General features: G+C 45.3%; 1 protein-coding gene and 1 long non-coding RNA gene across 2 annotated transcripts in view, besides 3 other annotated features; one reads left to right on the top strand and one right to left on the bottom strand.

Moving 5' to 3' along the window:
- Nucleotides 241-460: an enhancer, noted in NCBI's record as "active region_16565". NCBI's record gives its function as "activates an Ori minimal core promoter by ATAC-STARR-seq in GM12878 lymphoblastoid cells {active_cell/tissue: GM12878}" and the evidence as "EXISTENCE:reporter gene assay evidence [ECO:0000049][PMID:35858748]".
- LOC105373629 (uncharacterized) lies at nucleotides 17,722-22,134 on the bottom strand. Its single transcript, XR_923354.4, has 2 exons — nucleotides 21,679-22,134; nucleotides 17,722-17,844 (listed from the first exon to the last, which is right to left on the bottom strand). It is a non-coding gene; the product is annotated as an uncharacterized LOC105373629 (long non-coding RNA).
- Nucleotides 18,021-19,220: an enhancer, noted in NCBI's record as "CDK7 strongly-dependent group 2 enhancer chr2:135478596-135479795 (GRCh37/hg19 assembly coordinates)". NCBI's record gives its function as "activates an origin of replication core promoter dependent on BRD2, BRD4, P300/CBP, MED14 and CDK7 cofactors, with strong dependence on CDK7, by STARR-seq in HCT116 cells {active_cell/tissue: HCT116}" and the evidence as "EXISTENCE:reporter gene assay evidence [ECO:0000049][PMID:35650434]".
- Nucleotides 20,923-21,162: a silencer, noted in NCBI's record as "silent region_11978". NCBI's record gives its function as "represses an Ori minimal core promoter by ATAC-STARR-seq in GM12878 lymphoblastoid cells {active_cell/tissue: GM12878}" and the evidence as "EXISTENCE:reporter gene assay evidence [ECO:0000049][PMID:35858748]".
- The window catches only part of TMEM163 (transmembrane protein 163), a 263,242-nt gene continuing 259,403 nt past the window's right edge, over nucleotides 21,246-25,084 (top strand). The window contains exon 1 of the mRNA NM_030923.5: nucleotides 21,246-21,512. Within this exon, the coding sequence (NP_112185.1) occupies nucleotides 21,311-21,512 (202 nt within the window). The 5' untranslated portion in view covers nucleotides 21,246-21,310. The remainder of the gene's footprint in view (nucleotides 21,513-25,084) is intronic.

Below are 25,084 nucleotides of genomic sequence, written 5' to 3'. Positions count from 1 at the left end.
TGGCCTCGGGCTGACAAATCTCTGTGGAAGCCCAGGGTGAGGCCCCTTTGTTCTGAGCGGTGGCCTGTGTGAGCATTTGAGGAGGTGCTGTACAGCAAAGGCCCTATCCGTGGCACAGTCTTGATGAGTAACAGACAGACGTCTTTAGAGGCTTTGTTTTCACATCCTCTTTTTGAAAATGGATTTGCTTCCTTAAACACAGTTGGCTTCATCTTTTACATAATACACAGTCATATTACTGCCTTTCGTGAAGCCAGTGTCTTCTTGGCCTCCATGTGTGTCAGCTGAAGCTTTAGACTGTCTGACCACAGAAGCTGATGACCCACAGTCACTTGAATGCTTTCTTCTGTTCCAAGAACCGCACCTAGAGCACCATGGGGATGACCTCATGTCATCCTTGCAACAGCCCAGCTCTGGTTACCTAGCCCATTTTATGGATTAGAACCCTGAGGCTCAAGGGGGCTAAATTTGGCACCCCAAATCACATAACTAGTCCATGGCAGGGGTGGCACAGGATATGAACAAAGGACTGTGTACATTCCTACTGCCTATGTATGTCTGTGCAGCAGCCAGCCAAGAGGCATGTGTTATGTGATGCTTACTATTTATTACTTCTCTACAACAGGGATAAGATAATGATGATGACAATGATAACTCCCAGCCTTGTGATAGGACTTGAGCTTCATTATCTCACAATAGCCCCATAAGGGGTATAGTTGGGGCCCCCACCAGATACACTTTAATCTGCCAGGCACCACCCCGTAGCTGAGTGTTGGCTGCTCACAGGTTGCAGCTGCTTCCTTCTTCTGAATGCTCAGCTAAGGGGAGCCACCTTGCCTAGAAATGCCTGCTTTCCCCCTAGGGGTGGCCACAGACAATGAGTGACAGATATGGGGTGCAAAAGTCTGGTGCCTTGTCTCAAGGTTGCATAACTTTGTGGTGTTCTTCATGCTATGGTGGGATCAGGCTGAGGTGGGATCAGACTGAGAGGTTAAAATGCAGCTGAATCTACATTTTTCTTGGCTTCCTTTTTCTTTCTATCTTGCCACTCACATTCTCTTTCTGAGATCACTTGCACCAAGAATCTGTGTCTCAGGTCCTGCTTCTATAGAACTTCAGACAAGCCCTATGAATCCAGAACTATTGTCCATATTTTGCTGAGCGGGAGCGTGAAGCTGGAGGTGGCTGTCCCCACTTCATCTTGTCCTAGAGATGTGGCATGTCTCTGACCTCCTTAGCCGTGTTGGGAGTGTTCATCTGCAGTGCCCCTCTTTGAAACCACTGCCTCCCAAGGACCAGAGGTGCAATCTCATGGGCTGTGCTCCTCTGGGCCCACTCTTTTTTATCTTCATTCTTTCCCTGGCTTCTGTCTCATCCTGGTTGCCCATCACCCATCATGAACCATGGCCATGGGACACTCTCAGACAAGCTGGAGGCTGAGGTAACCATGAATTTGCCTTGCCCAGCATGATTTTCTTCCTGTGCCTTCTCCTGATAGTAATCCTGCCCTCCAGCTTTGCCCACAGTGTGGACACATGACCCAGGCTGAACCAGGGCACCATCCCTGGCTGGTTACAGAGATTGGCTCAGAAATGAGCACATTGCAGGAACATAAGTCCCTGGATGACCTTGGCCGACCCAGCTCTTCCCCTTCTTGCTTTTCATTCCTAGACAGAAACTACTGAAAATCCTGTAATAAGGAGGAAATGTCTGGAGCAATCCAGGCTACATTCTTATTCCTTCTAGAATAGGATGTTCTGCAGTGCTTGCATTCAGTGGTCCAAGTGGTACCCAGGGTATATAAACCCAGGATGGAGTGCTTTCAGAGTCCCTCAGCTAGAGTGTAATGTGAGGCATGCTTAGACTGCATCTGCCCTTGGCAGCATTCCTGAACCCTGGGGAACTGCTCATGGTGGACCCTGGGTTTCTGTTGATTTTTGCTGCTTAACTGTGAGTAACAAAGTTGCTTTTCATAAATTGTGCCAATGTTCTGTCTTCCCAGACTAGACCAAAAAATGCAAGTGGTGAGGGATTGGGGCTCCTTTTTTCTCCTTGCAACTGTCCTGATGGCGTGGGGACTGCTGCAGCAGCCAGGGCTGCTTTGAGCCCCAGAGTAAGAACCCTCGCAGAACTCTGGAAGCTGGGTTTGTGCAAAACCTCCTGCCAGACTTGAACTTTGCATACATTATCAAGCCAGGATAATTAGAGCCCTTCCTTGGGACTGTTTTATAGAAACTAAGGGAAAGGACAGCCTCCTGCCTCTCGAGTTTTTAGAAGGATTCAAATCTAGGGCTGTCAGCATTCATCTTTCCTGCCATGTGGGAAAGACCCTTCGGAGGTAATATACAGTATGCCGACATTCAGGAAGTGACAGCAGCAAGGCGTGGAGAGAGTAAACAGCAGTCTAACAACAGTGATGCAGTTCAGGGTCTGCCACACCTGGTGCACCCTGTCCTTCCTGCTGACACAAGCCAGCATAGGCTCTGTCATCGATTTCTGTCTGTTTCACCTTGAGATTATCCTGGCTTATCTGGGTGGCTTTATTTTAATCACAAAGATCCTTATAAGAAGAAAGCAGGGGAATCAGAGTCAGAGAGAAGAAGGCTAACTGGCAATAAAAACAGAGATTGGAGCAATTCAGCCAGGAGCCAAGGAGTGACGGCCACCTTTAGAAGCTGGAGGATGCAAGGAAACAAATTCTCTCCTGGAGTCTCCAGAGAAAATCAGCTTTGCTGACACCCCCATAAGATGATTTCAGCCCCATAAGACTCATTTCCAGCTTCTGACTCCCAGAATTGTAAGAGAATAAATTTGTGCCGTTTCAAGCCTCCAAGTCTGCAGTAATTTGTTACGGAGCAATAACAAATGAGCACACACCACTGCACCTCAAGTTTCTCACTTGTAAATTGGAAGTCTTGCCAAATTTAGCTGACCTGTGAGGCCTCATCTAACTCTCTTTTTCGTATTTGCATTCTATAATTATTCTCTTGGCTTTCTTTTGGGCTAGGCAGAATAAGTATCTATAGTATCTATCAGCTGGCTTTTTCAGACATTCAGAAATTGAGGAGCAGTGAGGTATAAGAAGGACACACAGCTCTGGCCAAGGCGAACCAGAACCCAGTCACTCATCTCTTCAGTTCTGTTAGATTACAAAGTCATAGAAGAGGTCTTTCTTGCTTATGTTTTGTTTGGATAAGAATAATTTGGGCCAATCCCAATGGCATTGGCATCATGAGATGACAACACAAGGTCAGACTAAGGGAGGACTTGAAAGTCAGAGTCAAGGTGATGAATAGCAGCCCTTCCCAACAGGCATTGAGTGTTAGAACCAATTATCAAGTTTATAAACAGCCACAAAGCTTCACAGTTTCCCAAGGTGGCACAGACACTTGCACACATGGGATTACTACTTTAGAATTAAAGTACTATGAGGACTTTTTCCCCCGACTTATTAAGGGGCCTTTTCATCTGAAGATCTTGATGTCCATTTCTGCCCAGTGAGAACTTAGAATTTTCAGTCTTCACCTGAGAAAAGAGGAAGAAAAACATCACAGAGGAGAAAGAGGAACAAAAATTTCCACCCTTATGTAAAGGTTCCTTAAACAACTGTGTTGAAACAGGGTCCTTAAACAACAGTAGTGAAAAGGACTACACTGAGTTATTTTAATAGGGTCATTGTTAATTCACTCTTTTTTCATTAAATCAGTAAATATTTTTCCACTTTATAAATGTCTGTCTACCTTATCCCAGGCACTGTTCTAAGCATTCGTGATACATTTTTGAATAAAAGTGGCAACCCCTCTCATCCACATGGGCCACACATTCTTAGGATGTCTGATGGAGCGTGGCATTACTGATTGTGAAAAGCTGATGGCTGTGGAATTAGAGGGCTTCCTCAGGTTCATTCCTGGGAGGTGAGTCACATTGTCAGCCTGTGTCTCCAGCAGCCATTCCTCCTTCCCCACTGTATTGCAAATATATTCTTAAATTTTCTGTATATTATGATGTTTTGACATCATCAAACATTAAACCCATTTTGGGTCCAGGGGAGACTGCCCCTCTGGGGCTAGCCAATTCCTAGAGATAACAAAAGGCCCAGCCTGGAGCGTGGTCTTTGTTTATTTATTTATTTATTTATTTATTTATTTTTTATGTTTGTTTGTTTCTCTTTTTGTTTTTTTTGAGAGAGGGTCTCATTTACTCTGTCGCCCAGACTGGAGTGCAGTGGTATGAACATGGCTTAATGCAGCCTTGACTTCCTGGGCTCAAGCCATCCTCCCACCTTAGCCTCCTGGGTAGCTGGGGTCACAGGCATGCACCACTACACCCAGCAAATTAAAAAAACATTGGGATAGAAACAGGGTTTCGCCTTGTTGCCCAGGCTGGTTTCAAACTCCTGGGATCAAGTGATTCTCCCACCTTGGCCTTCCAAAGTGCTGGGATTACCACACCTGGCCCTAGAGCATTTGATTAGCAAACTAACCAACCAGAGCCCTCCCTCATCTGACCCACACACCCCAGGAGACAATGTCTGTCTGCGTTCATCACTCCAGGGCCAGGTGCCAGGCAACCAGGGACCACCCCTGTAACCTAGAGCCCACTGAAATTCTTCAAACTAGCCAATCCTAAACTGTTCACCCTGCCCTACCTTGCTTTTTCCACAGAAACACCAAGGAAGGCTCTGGTCTAAACCTTGCCCTCACTCCTGTCTTCTGGCTCCTGACCACCCTGGTGTCTTCCCCTGTGGCCCTGCAAGGCATATCATGCTTCCTGTCTCTAGGACCTGTGAGTATAATAAACTTTGTTTTCCTGAGCCTCCCCTGTGTCCCCTGTTGTGCCCACACGGACTCATCCTCGCACAAAAGAACACAAAACAGCCACTCACCAAGCTCCTGTCTCTTTTAGTGGATGAGCACAGGGCCCAGCAGGAAAGGCTGGAGCTCATGGAGTCAGATTCTGTGATTCCAGTTTTGGCTCGGTCACCCCCTAGCTGTGGGACCTCAGGAAAGTCATTTTCAACCTCTCAGAGCCTCAGTTTTCTCAGCTGTAAGATGGAGGCGATAATGATGACTTTGTGTTGCTTCCATGAGGGTTAAAGAATGGAAAGTGCTGGGCCCAGAGTAGCTATGAGTCTCTCACCTGTTCTCGCCCCAATTATGGGCTGGACGAGCTCTGGTATAAACAGTTATTCTGGGATTGAAGTAGACATGGAACACGGAGGTAAGGAAACACCAGAACTGAGGGAGCCAAGCTCATTTGTAAATGGTAACCAGACAGCAGGCGCTGGGCAAGGGCATGGCAGGGAGAGGCCAGGTATCCACTTATTCATCCATTCAACAGACGTTCATCATGCCCTACTGTACACATGCTGGGCACTGTATTAAGACCCAGGGAGACTGAGAATAAGATGGGTACAGTCACGAGAAGGGGACCAATGGAAAGCAATACAATACAATCTGATACGTGCTCTGAAAGAGGGGTGCACTGGTGTGTTTTTGGAAAAGGAGGAGGGCCTATGTCCCACCTGGGCATGGGGAGAGTGTCAGGGAAGGTTTCACAGATCATGCAAGCACTAAATGGAAGGCATTAGCCAGGTGGAAGAGCATTCCAGGCAGGTGGGAAAACAAAGGGCAAGACTTAGTGACTTGGGGGAACCCAGGACATGAGTGTGGCTGGAGCTTAGGGGTCAAAAGGGAGAGAGAAAGGTGCAGAGGCCCTAAGAGGCCAGAACATGGGTGGCTTTTGATGTCAGGCTAGGGAACTTGTAAATATTAGCCTGTGATAATGAGGAGCTATTGGTGGCATTTTGGCAGGGAAAAGACACGACTAAGCTTGTGTTTTATTACTTTGACTGCATTGTGGAGAAGGAGTGGGGCAGAGGGAGCTGTTAGGGGAAGCAGAGCCAGCAGGAGGCTCTAGCTCAGTTCAGGTGAGAAACGATGACAGCTCTGGGAACATGGCAATGGGACTGGACTAGTGGTTCCCATTTGGCTGCATGTTGGAATTACCTGGACAAATTAAAAATAAAATACCCATGCCCCATTCCACAAAATCCAGCATCTGTTTATAATTAAAACTTTTAGCAAAATCAGACATACCTCAATGTAATAAAAGCCATCTATGACAAACCCACAGCCAACATAATACTGAATGGGAAAAAGTTGAAAGCATTCCCTCTGGGAACTGGAACAAGACAAGGATGCCCACTCTCACCATTCCTCTTCAACGTAGTACTGGAAGTCCTAGCCAGAGCAATCAGAAAAGAGAAAGAAATAAAGGCCATCCATATTGGTAAAGAGGAAGTCAAACAGTCACTGTTTGCTGATGATATAATCGTTTACCTTGAAAACCCTAAAGACTCCTCCAGAAAGCTTCTAGAACTGATAAAAGAATTCAGCAAAGCTTCTGGACACAAGATTAATGTACACAAATCAGTAGCTGTTCTATAAACCAACAGTGACCAAGCGGAGAATCAAATCAAGAACTCAGCTTTTTTATTACAAGAGCTGCAATAAATAAATAAATAAATAAATAAATAAATAAATAAAATAGTTAGAAATATACCTAACCAAGGTGAAAGACCTCTACAAGGAAAACTATGAAACACTGCTGAAAGAAATAATAGACGAAGCAAACAAATGGAAACATATTCCATGCTTATGGATAGGTAGAATCAATATTGTGAAAATGGCTATACTGCCAAAAGCAATCTACAAATTCAAGGCAATCAGCTTCAAAATACCACCATCATTCTTTGCAGAATTAGAAAGAACAATTCTAAAATTCATATGGAACCAAAAAAGAGCCCACATAGCCAAAGCAAGACTAAGCAAAAAGAACAAATCTGGAGGCATCACACTACCTGATTTCAAACTATACTATAAGACCATAGTCACCAAAACAGCATGGTACTGGTAAAAAATAGGCACATAGACCAATGGAACAAAATAGAGAACCCCGAAATAAACCCAAATACTTACAGCAAACTGATCTTTGACAAAGCAAACAAAAATATAAGGCAGGGAAAGAACACCCTTTTCAACAAGTGGTGCTGGGATAATTGGATAGCCACATGTAGGAGAAAGAAACTGGGTCCTCATCTCTCACCTTATTCAAAAATCAACTGAAGATGGATAAAGGGCTTAAATCTAAGACCCAAAACTTTAAAAATTGTGGAAGATAACATTGGAAAAACCCTTCTAGACATTGGCTTACTCAAGGATTTTATGACCAAGAACCCAAAAGCAAATAGCTGGGATTTATTTAAACTAAAGAGCTTTTGCATGGTAAAAGCAACAGTAAGCAGAGTAAACAGACAACCCACAGAGTGGGAAAAAGTCTTCACAGTCTATATATCTGACAAAAGAATAATATCCACTATCTACAACAAACTCAAACAAATCAGTAAGAATAAAACAAACAATCCCATCAAAAAGTGGGCTAAAGACATGAATAGACAATTTTCAAAAGAAGATATACAAATGGCCAACAAACATATGAAAAAATGCTCAACGTCACTAATGATCAGGGAAATGCAAATCAAAACCATAATGCGATACCAACTTACTCCTACAAGAATGGCCATAATCAAAACATTAAAAAAACAGTAGATGTTGGCATGGATGCGGTGATCAAGGAACACTTCTACACTGCTGGTGGGAATGTAAACTAGTACAGCCATTATGGAAAATAGTGTGGAGATTCCTTCAAGGACTAAAAATAGAACTACCATTTGATCCAGCAATCCCACTACTGGGTGTCTACCCAGAGGAAAATAAGTCATTATACGAAAAAGATACTTGCATATGCATGTTTATAGCGGTACAGTTCGCAATGGCAAAATCGTAGAACCAACCCAAGTGCCCATCAATCAATGAGTGGACAAAGAAACTGTGTTATACATACACGATGGAATACTACTCAGCCATAAAAAGGAATGAATTAATGGCATTCGCAGCAACCTGGATGAGATTGGAGACTATTATTCCAAGTGAAGTAACTCAGGAATGGAAAACCAAACATGGTATGTTCTCACTGATATGTGGGAGCTAAGCTATGAGGATGCAAAGGTGTAAGAATGATACAATGGACTTTGGGGGCTTGGGGGGAAGGGTGGGAGGGGGCGAGGGATAAAAGACAACAAATAGGGTGCAGTGTTTACTGCTCGGGTGATGGGTGCACCAAAATCGCACAAATCACAGCTAAAGAACTTACTCATGTAACCAAACACCACCTGTACCCCGATAACCTATGAGAAAAAAATACCCAAGCCCAAGCCCCATCCCAGACTAATTAACCCAGAATATCTAAGGTGGGCTTAGGCGTGGGTGTTCTAAAGAGCTCCCCAGGTGAATCTCATGTGCAGTCAAGGTGGCAGCCCACTGGGTTAGAGAAACAGGAAAGAGGACATATCTTCAGTGGTGTTTCTCAAAGTGTGGTCATATCCCTCAGAATTACCTGAGGGTATTTGTTAAAAGTGCAGGTTTCCCAGCCCCATCACTGAACTAGTGAGTCTGCATCTCTGGAGCTGTGGTCTGGGAGTCTGAATTCACAAAGCAGTGAGTCTTAAGCCCTGAAAGACTGGAAAACCATTCATCTGCAGGCACCAAATAAGGGAAGTAAGCACCAACTCTAAGTGGACTGGTGGGCAGAATCTGGGAGGAGTAGAACTGAAGGGACCACCCATCAGAGGTCAGGAAGACAAAGGGAAGAAGGGGCCTAGGAGCCACCCAGACAGCAACAGAACGTCAAGGAGGCTCCTTCTGGACCATTCAGGGGTTTCCATAGCACACTTGGGCTTGGGCACTGTATTAGTCTACTAGGGCTGCCATAGCAAAAACCACACACCAGGGGCTTTAACAATAGGAATTTGTTTTCCCTCAGTTCTGGATGCTGGAAGTCCAAGATCAAGGTGTCTACAGGATTGCTTCCTTCCAAGGCCATTCCCTTGGCTTGTTGGTGGCTGTTTCCTCCCTCTGTTTTCACATGGTCTTCCCTTTGTGGGTATCTGCATCCTCATCTCTTCTTATAAAGACATCAGTCATATTGGACTAGAGCCCACCCAGGTGATCTCGTTTCACCTTAATTGCCTCTTTAAAGGTCCTATCTCCAAATACAGTCACATTCTGATATACTGGGGGTTAGGGCTTTGTATTAGTCCATTCTCACACTGCTATAAAGAAATACCCAGGACTTGGTAGTTTATAAAGAGAAGAGATTTAATTGACACATCGTTCTGAAGACTGTACAGGAAGCATGACGGCATCTTCTTGGCTTCTGGGGAGGCCTCAGGAAACTTTCAATCATGGCAGAAGGCAAAGGGAAAGCACACATCACATGGCTGGAGCAGGAGCAAAAGAGAGGGGAGGGAGGTGTGACACATTTTTAAACAACCAAATCTCATGAGAACTAATCACAAAGGGAATGGTGCTAAACCATTCAAGAGAAATCCACCCCCATGATCCTATCACCTCCCTCCAGGCCCTACCTCCAACATTGAGTATTACCGTTTGACATGGGATTTGGGCAGGAACACAGGTCCAAATCATATCAGCTTCAACATATGAATTTTGTGGAGATACAATGCAGCCCATAACAGATATCTTGGAGCTGGAAAGGGAGATGGAGACATATGGGCCCTGACACCCACAAGAAAATAGATCAGATGAATAGAAGGTTTCCACTAAGGGCAGGTGAGAACACAGGCCTTCAGGAAGCCTCCGACAGGACGGAGCAGGCCGCTGGAGCACCTCCTTCAGGGACCCAGTTGATTCTCTGTCAGGAAGATAAGGAAAAGGGAAAGAAGTTATAATAAAAACTACAAGTAAAATATTACAGAAAAGAGTAAAGAAAGAATCATGTTTACAGTTGAATGCAATAGATAAGTTATTTCATGGAAAATTCTCCATATGAAATATTTTGTATTAAAGCTCTAGGTTGCCTCCAGGTGACATTCTAGCTAAGAGCTTGCATGTGTTTAAGTCGATCTGAGCTTGCAGGCAGGGGAATGGACTGGGCTTCCATGGATTTTGGTATCCGCGAGGGTCCTGAAACCAATCCCCCAATACCAAGGGATGACTGTATCTCTTCCAAAAATTACTTTACATTTTCTGTTTAAGATATTGTTCAGAATGAAATGGTCAATGTAGAATTTTTGCAGAAGAGATATTTAAAACAATCTAAATGTTCATCAGTTAGGGAAATAGTTAAATTAATTATTGTTCACTCATACAATGGAATATCTTGCACCTATAGAAGGTGAGGTAGATTTATATGTATATAAAGGTGCAGAATAGTGTGAGTTGCAGAATAGTGTGATTTATTATAGTTAAAAATTAACTGTGTGTGTGTATATATCTATATATACAAATATATATATATATATATATATATATATATATATATGCAAAAAATGGCCTCAAAGGATATTTACAGCAATGAATAATATGGTGGCCTTCCCAGTCTCCATTCCAACTATACTCCATCATGTAGTAGCCATTTATTTGATTTGGGTGGAACTGACCCCTCATCCTTCAGAGGTTGGTCCTATTCTTGGAATCAGTTAGGATAATCCCATCCTTTTTGCCACAGAGATTGATTCAGGAATGGGAACTGCTCCAATTATTACTTGACATTCCCCAGGCCTTAATGATTGGCTTGTAAGTAGGCATATAACCAAATTTGATCCAATCAGAATGAGGCCTAGGACTTTCACTCCACCGTTGTTGAGTTTCTCTCTCTTCCTTCTCTTTCTTTTCTTTCCCTCCCTACCCACTTCTCTCTGATAAAATATGTAGCCCTGTTGTCAGCTATGTTACAACCTGAAATAAGCCAGCCTCGGGATGCAGCTGATATCTTGGAAGCAGAGCAAGGAGATAGAAATGGAGTCTTTGATGACATAGTTGAGTGACTGAATTAAACAAATCCCAAAGCCTGCCCAAACTCTGGACTTTCAAGATCTCTTTACATTATCTGTTTAAAGTGTTCAAAATGAAATGGTCAATGTGGCATTGTTTGTAATAGCAAAACATTGGAAACAAATGTTCATTCACTCAGAAAATGATTAAGTAAATTATGAGAGGCAATACATTGTTTTACTGTATTGTCCACTTTGAATTGAGCTTTTCCTTAATGGTAGCATAGTTTGAACTGATAAATGCACCAAACTGTTACAAGTTTTTAACCTTGGGAATGGAGGTGGTGGAAGTCCGGGGTGGGCAGAGTGTTGATAGGGAAACTCTTTCACTTTCTACAGTTTTGTACTTCTGTTAAGTTTTAACTTTTTACAATGAGCATACGTTGCTTTCTTTTAGAATTAAAAACTTTTTAAAATAAATGGAGAGTAAAATATAGAAACTTTTCACAAAATAGTTTGTGCCAAAGCAAATTTGGAAATATTTTCATCTAGTCGTGGGAGGGGTGGGGTTAGTGCTTGGAGGGGGACAAAGGAGACACTTTAGGGGTACGGATCATATTCTGTTTATGGAAATATTTCTGTGTGTTCACTTGGTGAACATTTTTTGAGTGTAACCTTAAGATTTGTGTGCCCTCTTACATGTGCGTTAAACTTCAATAAAATGTTTACATAAAATATTGCAGGCTTTTAGAGAGGGGTTAAAACATGTGTCAGGTTTGAAATAATGTAATCTCAGCAGCATGTGCCACAATGTACATACGAGACGGGAAGGGAAGGTTGTCCGCCATCTTTAGGAGGATGGTAAAAGTTACATTTTTTTTTTCCTGAAATTTCCCCCATCTTAGCAGTTTCAAAGCTAGAACATGTTTCTCTTTATTTTTCTACTGATGGAGGGGGAAGGAAGGAGGCCTAGGAAGATGCAATCTCTGGGAACTGCCTCAGTGGCCGGATGTGAAGTCAGTCACAGATGACCTGGTCAGCTCAATTATCTAAGGCTTGAAGAGAGCAGCTAAGCATTTACTCATTTGTTCCTTCAACAACCTTTTCTTTTTTCTGGGCACTTAAACTCTGCCTGCATTCTGGTAGACGCCTGAAACACTAGGATGAATAAACTGTGTTCTTGCCTCAAGAAATTTCCCATCATGCAGAAAGAAACTGGTATATTAACAAAATTAGAGAAATACAGTGTTATAAGGGCTGCAATGGAAGTATGCATAGAGTATCAATAGAGAGAGGGAAAAATCGGAGCCCCTTAGTTGGTAGTTTTTCAGGACGCAATGATCTAAGGGGTGGCAAGAAGGTGGAATTATCAGAGGTTGGTCACCTGCCGCTTGTAAGGTGTGAGGAAGAGTGAAGTCAAGGGGAGGTATTTCTTGGATCCTGGCTTGAGATGATATGGTGGATGGTGCTGAAATTCTCCAATACATGGAGGTTGAAGATGCATAGATTTTGGGATTCTGCTTTTGGACATATTGAATTTGGGGAGTGGGCTTACTCAGCAGGAGATGTTCAAGGACAATTGGATTTGTGGGTCTAGGGCGAGAGGCCAGAGGGGTAGGAAGAAAATCATGGAGAGCAGATGCCGTAATTTTTTTTGATATGTGAGCAGAAGAAAATGAAACAATTTTTTGAGCGTACGTAACTCCCTTTTCCCATATCAGTTGCAGCTGACTTTGTTCTTTATTCTTTTTATTCCCCTACTCCTCCACATCTTTGACATTTCCCATGGAGCTGAGTGAGATGACTCATTAGTTCTGCATAGTCAGTAGCCCCTAGCAACCTCTGACCGGTTTCAGTACAAACTGTTTAGCCAAGGCAGACCTATTCCTCCCAATATATGTGGTCATTCCAGATAAAAATTTTTATAAATTTTTTATTGTAAAATAGTATTGTAAAAACACAGATACTAAAAATCACAGAAATCAAATGCATGGCTTAATAAATCATTATAAAGCAAGTACCACCCAAATCAAGAAATACAACTCTCCCAGCCACCCCAGAAGTTCCTTCAATATGCCCCATCCAAATTCTTTTCTTCCCCCACAATTAAGCATTAGTCAGAGAAAATTGTGGATTTGTACACTTAACAAAGTTTTAGCTTATTTTGTTGCAGAATCCTTTATGCCCACCATTGCCTTTTCCTGGGATGCCCTTCCACCCTTGTAAGTCAGTGTTAGAACCCACCCCCATTAAGCATTTCCAGATTATATGTGTCAAATACCTATTATGTGTAGTCAGTGTACTAAGGAATCCAAGAAAATGTGTCTTAGGACCTGCTCCCTCTCCTTACTGCATTACTACCTACTTATATTTTATTTGATTTTTCCCCCTTTTGTTAATTTTGTCCTGACATACTTCTCTTCCTGACTCTATTATAGATTCTTTCAAAGTAGAAACAAAACATACTGCTTGTGTTTTCCAGATCCTTGCCATTCAGAGGCTGGTCTGTACACCAGCAGCACTGGCATCACCAGGGAGCTTGTTAGAACTGCAGAAAATTGGACCCCACTCCAGACCTGAGGAATTAAAATCTGCATTTTACCAAGATTGCTAGGTGATTGTTGTGTACTTTCAAGTTAAGAAGCCTGTCCTTGAGCAGGGCTTTCTTGTGCTTTGCTGTACATTGGAATCACTTGGAGATCTTTCAGAAACAGTTAAGCCTGGGTCCCACCCCCAGAGATTCTGAGCAATTTGTCAGGGGTGGGTGGGCTTGAACATCAAGATTTTTAAAAGCATCCTGATAAGGTGACTAACTGTCTCAATTTCTCTGGGACTGAGATAATTTTCCAGGACATGGAACTTTCAGTGCTAAACCCAGGAATGTCTCGGGCCAACCAGGGTAAGTTTGTGGCCCTATCCCTAGTGATTGTAAAGTTGAGACCCACTGCTGATGAGAATGCACAGCAAAGGCTGGGAATGCAGAACTATGCCATTCTATTTCGACTGCAAGTCTCTTAAAGGGTGAAATGACATTTAAACATTCTTTTTGTATGCATATTTTCCAAATGAAGACTCTTAATAATGCTATAACCAACATGATATTTCTCCAAATGCTCTGTAGTCATACCTCAAGTTTATACTTTTTATTCCATGGTAAAGGGAGTTAATAAATTTAAGATTCACACTTCAGGCATGTGGACATACACATACTTCCCTCTTTCCAAGTGAAGATCTTAGAGCCCTTCCTATAAGTGCTGTTGGAGTTGACCTTGGCAGCCAGCTTAGATACTCCTGTACTGGACAGGTCCTCACTCAGCCCCAGCCCTAGAGTCCATGCCTGCAAGGGTGCCACACCCTAGGTCTTGGGTGTTGCTTATCTTTCTTCAAGACATGCAAAAGATGAATAATATGTTTATATTTGTTTTTCCAAAGTCCATACAAGAAGTGAAGTAAAGTAACTATATACCTTAACCTAAGTAACTATACACCTTAACCTGAAATCTCATGGAGCTGTATCAGGTGCAAAAGCCATGCTCTTGGCCATCTGCAGGTTCTTCCATAGAGGCTGTGCATGGTAGTAGATAAAAGCAGACCTCAGGAATGAGATTTGGTTTCCCTATCTTTACAACAGGGATGCTAATAATACCATATCTGATTTATAGACTAAGAGGACTATGTGATTTCTTATGTGAGTTTCGTTAGAACACTCATGACCCTTAGCAAGTGGCTCCACCAGAGATAACTGTGATGTTTATTCCCAGTGGAGGCTCTTATGTCTAACGTGTTTCCTTTGTCTTCTTGGTCTTTCTTCTCTTTCCTATGTATATTCCTGAAATTAGGGCTCTGGGGACATTTACTAAAAATGTTAAAAAATAAATAAGAACAAAAAAATACAGCACTCAATTTCTTATAGTCTTTCAGTTGTCAGGTTTTATGACCATGTGCTCTTACCCATATATGACTTTCTTTTATTTTTCTTTGTTTTTAATTTTATTTTAGGTTTGGGGGTACATGTGAAGGTTTTTTTACATAGGTAAACACATGTCACCAGGAATGTTGTACAGATTATTTCATCATCCAGGTATTAAGTGCAGTACCCAATAGTTATCTTTTCTGCAGCTGGGCATGGTGGCTCATGCCTGTAGTCCCAACACTTTGGGAGGCTGAGGTGGGCAGATCACTTGAGGTCAGGAGTTGAAGACCAGCCTGGATGACATGGTTGGCAGGGGCATGGTGATCCTCAGACGGCAGGTGGAGTGCTTGGGTAAAGGGTGGTAGCAGCTGTACTGAGGCCCTGCCACTGGAGAGGGTGGGGTCATCCTCAGTGGTCACAGCCTGGGCCAGAGGGTAGGAAAACCACATCTCTCTCATGCTCCAGTTCCAGTGGGGCTTGTTCCCCACCTCAGCAGTAGTAGCCTGTTCCTAGTTTATGCCCCTCCCTGGCTGTAGGAGCTCCCACCCAGCTGGCGACTAAGACCAAGCAGCAACTCACACCCTGCTTGCATCCCAGTCTTCTGTCCCAGTGGCACTCACTTCTTGGCACCAACAACGGCTGCCCACAGCTTGCTTGCTTTTTAGCTCTGGCTGTGCGACAACTTCCAGCTTGCTACCCAGTCCCAGCAGCAACAGAGTCTCTGTAATGCCTCAGTCTTGCCATTGCTGGGCTCCAGGACAGTATGCAGTCTGCCAAAGGCTAGGTCTGAAAATGGCACCTTGCCATAGCTGCTTAGGCTCAGAAAGGGTATGGGACCCAATGTGAGCTCCCTCCCTGGAGTGGTTCCATCCCATGATCTCCCAGCAGCTCCCTATGTTAGTGTCAGGAGTTGGGAGGGTTGAGGGACTCTCTTGTGGCAGGAATGCAGGATTCCATGGTGGGGATGTGGGCCTCTGGAAGTCACTCACCCTTTCCTTGCCTTGGGAAGTTACTCCTGCTCCCAGTTCATCCCCTCCAGGCAGGCTGTCTCTCTCCCTTCTTACCTGCTTTCTGGTGTTTCTTGTTACTTCTCTATTGAATCCCGACATTCTCTCTTGGATGGTGTATTCAAAGTATGACTGTCTATACACACTAAGTGGAAGAGGTGGGCATGAAATGCTTCTAATCAGCTGTCTTGAAGCCCTTCCTCAGCTTTCCTTTTTTACAACAGTTTTAGATTTGCATAAAGTTGAGAAGATTAGAAAGTTCCATGTACCTTGCACCCAGTGCCCTCATTACTAACATCTCACATGAGTGCACTTTTTTTTACAACTAATAATTGAGACCTTACTAACTGAAGTCCATACTTGATTCAGAATTCCTTGATTTTTACCTAATGTCTTTTTTTTGTTCCAGGATTTCTTCCACAATGCCATATTTCAGCTAGTGGTTGTGTCTCCTCAGGATCTTTTGGCTGTAATGGTCCAGTCTCCCTTTTTATACCAACTGTTTTGTTTGGTTATTTATTTATTTATTTATTTATTTATTTATTTATTTTTTGAGACAAAGTCTCGTTCTGTCACCCAGGCTGGAGTGCAGTGGCACAATCTTGGCTCACTGCAGCCTCTGCCTTCCAGGTTAAGCAATTCTCCTGCCTCAGCCTCCCGAGTAACTGGGATTACAGGTGTGCACCACCAGGCCTGGCTAATTTTTGTATTTTTGGTAAAGACAAGGTTTCACCATGTTGACCAGGCTGGTCTCAAACTCCTAGCCTCAGGTGATCCTTTTGCCTCGGCCTCCCAAAGTGCTGGGATTACAGGCGTGAGCCACTGTGCCTGGCCCCAACTGTTTTACATTATTCACTATTGTGATTATGAAATTAATTCATGGCTAATGCATATACACATAGTTGAAAAATCAATATAATGACCTAAATTATAATAGAGGAGGAATAAAATAAAGTAATACATAATTAATATTTAAATGCTCACTCAGAGCTACACCAGAGGTCACAAATAAGCAGTCAGATATTTGTACCTATTTATAATTTAAGAACAGAGAGTCAGGCACTCTGGAATATTTTTTACACTTTTTCTTTAAATTGCTGTTATTTTGAAACAGGAACTAAAGAAATATACACATATGAAATTACTGGGCTTGTGGGCATCATATATGTGTTGATTGCTGAAACAGATAACATGAATGGAACTGGCTTCTGTGTCCTGATTTTCCAAAGTGGTAAAAAGAGTACCATCCCTTCCTAGACTTATACAGTAGTTGCATTTCCAGAAATTCCTGTGTGTATTCACAAGATGCAAAAACATTTTGTGTTTATATGTAAAACAAAGTTAAAGTTCCACCGTAATTCGATGCACATTTCAACTGAAGCAAAGGTCAGGTCTGACAAATGAAAGCCATGTGGGACACAGACCAATCTCCTGCATCTGGGGCCACCCCCAACTAAATGTCAGTGGCCCCCTCCTCCCATCATTGTGATGACCAATGAAAGTACCTGCAAATTTCCAAAATGCCCCCTAGCGGGCAGTACCCCTGTGGATTATGGTGGTGGGCAGAGGTCGACAAGGCAGATCGGCCTTTGTTTGTTCATCTGTGAAATGAGGACAGTAGTAGCTGAATGAGGGAGACAATGCATGTAAAACACTTAGCTAGGTACCCGGCACATGGTATGTCCTCCAAAAATGTAAGCTAGTGTTATCTTCCAGTTAATCAGCAGAGATTGTTTGAGGGGACACTGTGTCCCCGATGCCCAGGTAGGTGTTTGTAAGGAATGCACATCAGGCAAGCACCACTATCCCTGCTCCACACATGAAATAAATGGTGAATTATTAATCAATTACAGTTTAGAAAAAGGAGCACCCAAAGGGGAGCTGGAGTCAGAGAAATCTTTCTGGAAAAGACAATAGTGGCTTGTTTAACCAGAGCAGCTGGAACATGATGGGAAATATATTTATTCCATGAATAACAAACAACTCCTAGATCCTTGCTTCTCAAAGTGTGGTCTTCAGATATGCAGCATCAGCAGCATCGGGAGGTTTGTTAGAAACAGCATCTCAGCCTGGTGGAAAACAAACAAAAAAAAGAAACTTTTAATCTGAGGAATGCAAGCCCCTTTACATTATCAGCCCCAGAGACTTACTGGAATGAAACAGCAGCAAGTGACAACCATTTGAGTGAAATAATGATCTCTAGAAGCCACTGACTATGTGGGCTCTAGACTAATTTATGCCAAATAGCCATAAAATGGCCATACACTGGACACCATAACTCCTACCCGACAGTTCAACAATCTATAGCCAAGTTATCTCTGCAAACCAATGAGGATTCCTGTCACACAACTTTATATCGGCCCTCTCTTTGTTCCCTTTGCCTTTAAAAACCTGCTTATAACAAAGGCTAATGGAGCACTCCTCAAGGCAACTTAGAAACGTCCTGGGTAGCTGTCCTCATTTGGGCTCAAGCAAATTCTTTCAATTATATTTTGTGCCTCAGCCTCTTCCTTTTAGGTTGACAGCCTCTATCCCAGACCAACTAAATTAGAATCAGCATTTTAAGAAGAATTGCGGATGTTCATTGCCACGCTCACCTTTGAGATGTGCTGGACTTACAGAACCAACTGAGGAACCAGAGGAAAGAATAATGATACCAGTTCCTTTGGTGAGAATCTGCTGCAGACCGTGTGTGTGTGTATGTGAAGGGCACAGAGCTAGATGGTCCATATTGTGGAGAGTAATCATAAAGGGTGGTTGCAGAATAATTGACATCAGAATGTGTGTTGGAGGCCGGGGGGCAAGAGGGGTTTAAAGGAAGGTTCCCAGCCAGATCCCAGATCTATTGAACCAGAATCTCAGAGAGCCAGGGAGGAATAATTTTTTTTTTTTGAGATGGAGTCTCGCTCTGTCGCCCAGGCTGGAGTGCAGTGGCATGATCTCAGCTCACTGCAAGCTCCGCCTCCTGGGTTCATGCCATTCTCCTGCCTCAGCCTCCTGAGTAGCCGGGACTACAGGCACCTGCCACCACGCCCGGCTAATTTTCTGTATTTTTAGTAGAGACGGGGTTTCACCATGTTAGCCAGGATGGTCTCGATCTCCTGACCTTGTGATCTGCCCACCTTGGCCTCCCAAAGTGCTGGGATTACAAGCGTGAGCCACCACGCCCAGCCAATTTTTTTTAAGCCCCCAGATGACTCTTAGAATGGGGAAGTGCCTTACAAAATACCCATGCCAAGGTCCCAGCCAAGAACGATCACGTTAAATATGATATCAGAATCTCTAGCAGTCGAAGCTTCGGTATTTTTGTTCTTAGACTCCCCAGGTGATACTTTGAGAGCCATTGACAGGGGGATTAAATGGGATAGACTGGAGGAAAAAAGTGGAGGAGATGACTCTGCAAATATATCTGAAGGATGTTCTACCTTAGAGGATAGAACCAGGATTAATGGGTAGAGATTTTCATTGTCTTTATCCAAGTAATCATAGCATTTTTCTTTTTCTTTGCAGCAGGAAGGGATCTTTGAAATGACGTAGTTCAACTCTTTCAATTTGTAGTTGAAGAAATTAGTGGTCAACAAGGTAAAGTAAGTTGGTCAAGGTCAACTCAGATCTTCTCATTCCAATCCAGCAACAACAATAATAACAGCAGCAACAAAATAAAGTAAGACCCCTCTCCCCATTTCTGGTGATATTTCCAGTGCACCACAAAGGCATTTAAATCCTACTCTCATTTCAATCACAAGCAAAGCAGACAAGAAAAAGGAAAAGGGTGACTCTTCAAGAAACGAGGAGGACTCCTTTAAATGAGGAATTGACATTTTGGAGTACCCGGATTAAATTCAGAGACTGAATCAATCTAAAGACGAAAGCCGGACTCTAGAGCTTGGATGTTGATACCATTGAAACGGTAGGGGCAGAAAAGGTGTGATACTTTCCTCCCCATCATAAGGGGCACGGCAAACATGCTTATAACAAAAGATAGGCTAATAAGAGAAAAGCGTAACAAATTTATTGAATCAAAGTTTTATGTGATACAGGAGCCTTCAGAAATGAAGATGCAAAGACTCAGGGAAAACTGCCTGTTTTTATGCTTAGATTCAGTGAAGAATGGACAGCCTTATAGAAATGTGATTGGACAAAGGGTGTGATCTAATGGTAATAGACTGAGGGTTGAACCCAGCGAGGCCTGTTCAGATTCTTCTTGGCCTCTCTGTGCAGCATGTATAGAGCAGGACCTCTTCTGGAATGAGGGTCTCAGGATCTACTATCAGACAAGGTAGGTCTGAGTATTTCTTCATGGCCAGCTCCTACACAGAAAGGCAGAGGACCAGGGAGGTTGGAGTACTATTTCTAGGTTGTATGACCACCGTAGGGAAGAGGAATTCTGGTTTCTGTGAACTGCTTAGTGGGGAGAAAGTCGGGGGGGAGACAGACTTTGTTTCTAAGGCGGCTTCAGAGGCCTGTTTAGTTTTTTAGTTCAAACTTAGCATACCAAAGTGCCATACGTTGGGGTATACTTTTCTGAGCCTCAACAAATCCAAGCTGAATTTATTAAACAGCAGGTCCTCTTTTGCTCCTCTCTGGGCATCAAGAGAGCTGGCGTGTGCCCTGCGGTGGACTCTCACTGGTGAGATCAGCCCCACCGCACAAAATGAATTAAGAGCTGCAGGGGTCAGAGTAGGGGAGACTTCTCGTAGAAGGGAGGCTTCCATGGATTTCTGAAGATCACACAAGACTTAGATGAGCAGGGGAGCGAACTGTATGGGACAAAGGCCCAGGAAGAGTCGAAATGGGGAAGCCTCGGAGTTCAAGCATCTTCTATAGCGCCCGCTGTCCTAAAGATACCCCATCCCTGGCTAAATGGGTGCTCCAGGGAGAAACTGGGAGGGGAGTTAAAGCTCCGAGAAGGACGGAGAGCGACGGGCTTGGGGACAGATGAACCCTTTTTCCCTGGATGAGCAGTGAGAATGGAGGCCCAGGCGAAGACCCTGTACAGCCTCTGAAGCCTGTGCAGCTCCAGAAGAGAAAGATGCCAAATTAGGGGCGCTGTCTGCTACCCACGCGCGGCCGCGGGCTTCGCGGACCCCAGAGGAATCCAGTGGGAGGGGTCCCCTCTGGGCACCATCCCGCGGCGCAGGTGGGGCGGGTCCCCGCTACGCCCTAGCCAAGCTCTGCCAGGGCCGCCTGTGGGTCCTCACGCTGGTTCCTCCCTCTCGTCCGCCTCGGTGCGCCGGCTCCCGCGCCCGGGCCTTGGGGCGGGTCCCTGCCGCCCGCACCTGCCCCCAGGGGCGGAGCGCGGCGGCAACAACGCGGCCCCAGCCTCCGCCACCGGCCGCGGAGCCGAGCGGCTCTCCGCTCGTCCCCGCCCCCGCCCGTGCACCTCCACTCCGCGGCGCCCGCCCGCCCTCCCTCCCTGTCCACGCGGCCAGTCCGTCCGCTCCTGCCCCCGCCAGAGCCGCGGCGCCTCGCACTTCTGACTCGAGTCCCCGCCGCGCTTGTCGTCGCCGCCGCCGGGATCCGCAGCCCCGCGCCATGGAGCCGGCCGCGGGCATCCAGCGCCGCAGCTCCCAGGGGCCCACCGTCCCGCCGCCGCCCCGGGGCCACGCGCCACCGGCTGCCGCCCCCGGCCCGGCCCCGCTGAGCTCCCCGGTGCGCGAGCCGCCCCAGCTGGAGGAGGAGCGGCAGGTGCGGATCAGCGAGAGCGGCCAGTTCAGCGACGGGCTGGAGGACCGAGGTGAGCGCGAGCTGCCCGACCCGGCCGGCGACCGGGGTGGCTGCTCGGGGCCCGCCTCTCCCCACTCGCGGGCCGCGCTGGGCGAGGCGCGGGGCTCGGAGCGCGCGGGGGCGCGGAGCCCCGACTTCCCGGCGAGAACGCCGCTAGCCGAGAGCGGCAGCCCCACCTTCTGCGGCCGGCACCGCCTCGGCTGCGGTTCCTTCCCTCGAAGCCCAGACCCCAGCTGCCTTCAGGCCGACCCCGCCTGGACTCGCGCCCTCCTCTCCGCCAGCTCCAGGCCCTCCGGCGCCCACGGGAAAAGTTTGCGGGAGGCATTTTTTGCGTTCGGAGTCGAGCGCTTCTGGGCCACTCCGGGCCCTACTCAGCTCGGAGGGACCCAGGCTCGTTGCATCCTCCTTTCCGTAGTCCCCTGCGGCTCCGCCGGCTGCCTGGGAGAACTTCCCTCTGCGGGTGTAGCCGCGAGATGTCCCTCGGCGGCCGCCCGGCTGCCCGCCCCGGCGAAGGGCGCAAGGAGGGGAGCGAGCCGGGACTCGGGCGGCCTCTGGTCTCGGGCAGTCCCCGATTCTAATCGCGGACGCGGGTCACAGTGGGTCCCTGCCCCGTCGTCTCATGATGGGGCAGAGGAATGGGACATTTGGATTTGGGCCACCAACCTCATCTGGATGGATGCCACTGAAACCTGATGTTTCCGGAGGGCGCGTCTGCAGACCCTTCAGAGCTCCCCTCCACTGACACTGGCCTGGAGGTCAGCACACTTGCCTCTGCTGGGAGACCACACTCTGCCTCCCACCGACTGCCGATGCCCCCTTGAGTCGCCAGTGTAGGACGGGAGAGACTCCCTGCTCGTTCCCGCGTCTCTCTTCTCCATCCCTTCCGCGTTTCCTTTGGGCTTGGATTCTTTGCAGAGGGAGCCCTGTTCTTGGCCGCGTCTGCACCTTTTCTACTTCTTGCTGAATCCGAATCCAAATTGTCCCCCTCAGAACGAATCTGTGGTTCTGCTAAAACCGTTTAGTGGCCAAAGAGGGATTCTTGCAGCCAGGCCCTTTAGGGGAAGCCGGCTCTTTTGCACCTCCACCCCCTTTTCTTGGAAGCCTTATTTTGTTGGCTATGGCGGGTTTATATATTTTAGACTTAGCAGGTTTCTGTCCTATTCTTAGTATCTCCTGTACATTTTTATTCCGGTTTAGTGTTCGGATGCACGATCTCTTTCTCCTTAGAAATTCTAAACTGTAGCATGTGAAATAAAATGACATGGAAACGGCAGTTCCCAGAGAATCCGCCTAGATGCTCAGCGAGAACTGGAGCTGCTCCAGTGGCAACGAATTCTGCACCTCTGTTGCAGTTTCTCCCCCTGTTCTCACATAACTAGATGCCATTTAAGAGGTGAGGACAGGGGACATCACGAGCATGGAACAAAACCTCTCACTTTTATTATAGGATGTGTTCATTACCTTTGCCCCTCTCCAGCTAATATCGTAGGATTTAAAAATTCCATATTGAAGAAAGACAGAAGCCTGGGTTGAGCTTATTTTTGTAGCATTGCAGGTCATCTCTAAGAGCTGGCCTGTTTCTCCCTACCCCACAAAATGATAGGAGGGAAGACAGTGCTAGGGTGAGTTCATATTTAGCATCATTTTGTAGTTCATGTTCAAGTGTAAAAAGCCCTTCTGAATTCATTCTTAAGGTTATTTTTCTCTGGTCAACGGAATTTCATTTTCCATTATATGATAGCATGAAAGCATTGACTGTTCGTAAACTGTCACTGTTTGAGAGCGTGGCATATCACACACAGCCTCTCTGTTAGGATGAACCCTATTCGCCAAAGAACCCGGTGCTGTGTGGCATTGAGAGCTGAACGTCAATGTGACATTCTTTTGTTTGACCTCTTCCTGATGGCAACCAGTATGTGGTGAATAAGTGATTTTTGTTAAGTAAACGAGAACGTTACCTGGGGAGGTTTACTGTAAGATTTTGTGTTTGTTGTTTCTGTTATTTTTTTTCTTATGGGGCTGCATTTTTCCAATATTGATTTTTATATCCTTTGGGAATGGGTTGAGTGCAGCTACCTCTTTCCTGCTGGTGAGAGGAATTGGGGAGGAGGAAGCCCCAGCACTTGCCTGCCGTGTGTCTCTGCATCCTGCCTGGCTTGCTTTCTTTCAGGCCTAAATACCTATAGGCTGTCTGTAGAGGGGTTGAGGGGTACCTCGGATCTGCACCTGTATTTGGCATTCTCTTTTGTCCTAACTCCCTTTGGAGCTATCAGGATGTGGTTCCAGACCACAGTTAACTCTCATCAAAGGTTTGCTTTAAAATCTAGTGTTTTGAGACTTTGGAGGCATTTGCGCCTTAGAAATGATGTGGGCTGGTTCTCAGAAACCTAGCTAGCTCAGAATGTCAGTAACTGCAGTGCCATCTGGTTGAACTTAAAGCTCAGGGAGCAAGAGCTCTGTGGCCTAAGACCTTTGGGGACTAAACACAAAAATTAGGCCAGGTTTATCTTAATCATTCTTCCCATCCCCTTTGAATACCTATTCTTCTCCCTACAAGTATTTTCCCATCATTCTGTCCGTAACCTTAGGGCCCAGCTTAGCCTTAGGTAATTATATGTGTCAGCATTTCCCAGTACTTCCCCATCTAACAAAATTTCCCTTTCTTCACAGAGTTCAAGCTTGACAAACTTAGGAGAAAGGAATTGGAACTAATGCATACTAGTGTAGAAATAACTGATGGCTTCAGCCTCTCCATATGTATTTGTACCTTTCCCCTCTCCAAAATAAATAAAGGATCAGTCTCTCATTAGTACTATGCTTAGTATTCCCAGGCCAAAATTGCAAATTATGAAATTTGAGTGAGTTTAGAAATTCAAATATGGGGGCCAGCTATGGGTAGGGAGGATCCAGCCCTGCCTGCAAATCCGAGGCCTGTCGTAGCTTCTCTAGGCTGTCCTGTCTCTTCAGCCTGGCTTTCTTCCAGCTTTAAAGCACAGCTTCCTGAAAACATTAGGAATTCTCACTACATCTTTGTAACTTGTGAGTGTGCCTGCATCCAACATGAGTGTGGAGGTACCTGTGTGTGGAACATTCACTAGGAACTGAGTCTTTATACATCATCATACTACACTTCCCCTTGAGGAGTGCAAAGTTTTCCATTCTTAGGATCGGCTATATTTTTAGAAAGGAAAATCAGCAGAAAATAAGCAAAAGTTGAATAGAAATGGGAAAGTCCTTCCATTTTTGGACAGTCTTCCCATTGTACTTATTCCATTTTATTTTTTAATTTTAAAAATATCACGGAGGAGGCACACACAGGCCCAGATCTGGGGAAGAAGTACTGGTCGTAATGCTGAGAAGTCCCAAGTGCCACCTTAGCGGGACAGTCCAGCTGTCCTGGGCTGTCATCTGAAACTCCTCCAGGGGGGTGCTGTTTCACTGGTGGGTGAAGCATGTAGATTGGTCCACATGTGTGGTCAGGACCAGTTATATTATTGAAACTAGCTGACTTTGGATGGAAAAATAAATGTTATGCGGCTGAAGAGAAAATGGGCATCATTGTCATTCCTCTTAGAAAATGAA

The sequence above is a fragment of the Homo sapiens genome, chromosome 2, assembly GCF_000001405.40.
Source record: "Homo sapiens chromosome 2, GRCh38.p14 Primary Assembly".
NCBI classification, from domain to species: Eukaryota; Metazoa; Chordata; class Mammalia; order Primates; family Hominidae; genus Homo; species Homo sapiens.
The sequence above is the reverse complement of the archived record's forward strand: the minus strand, read 5'-3'. Positions and strand labels throughout refer to the sequence as shown.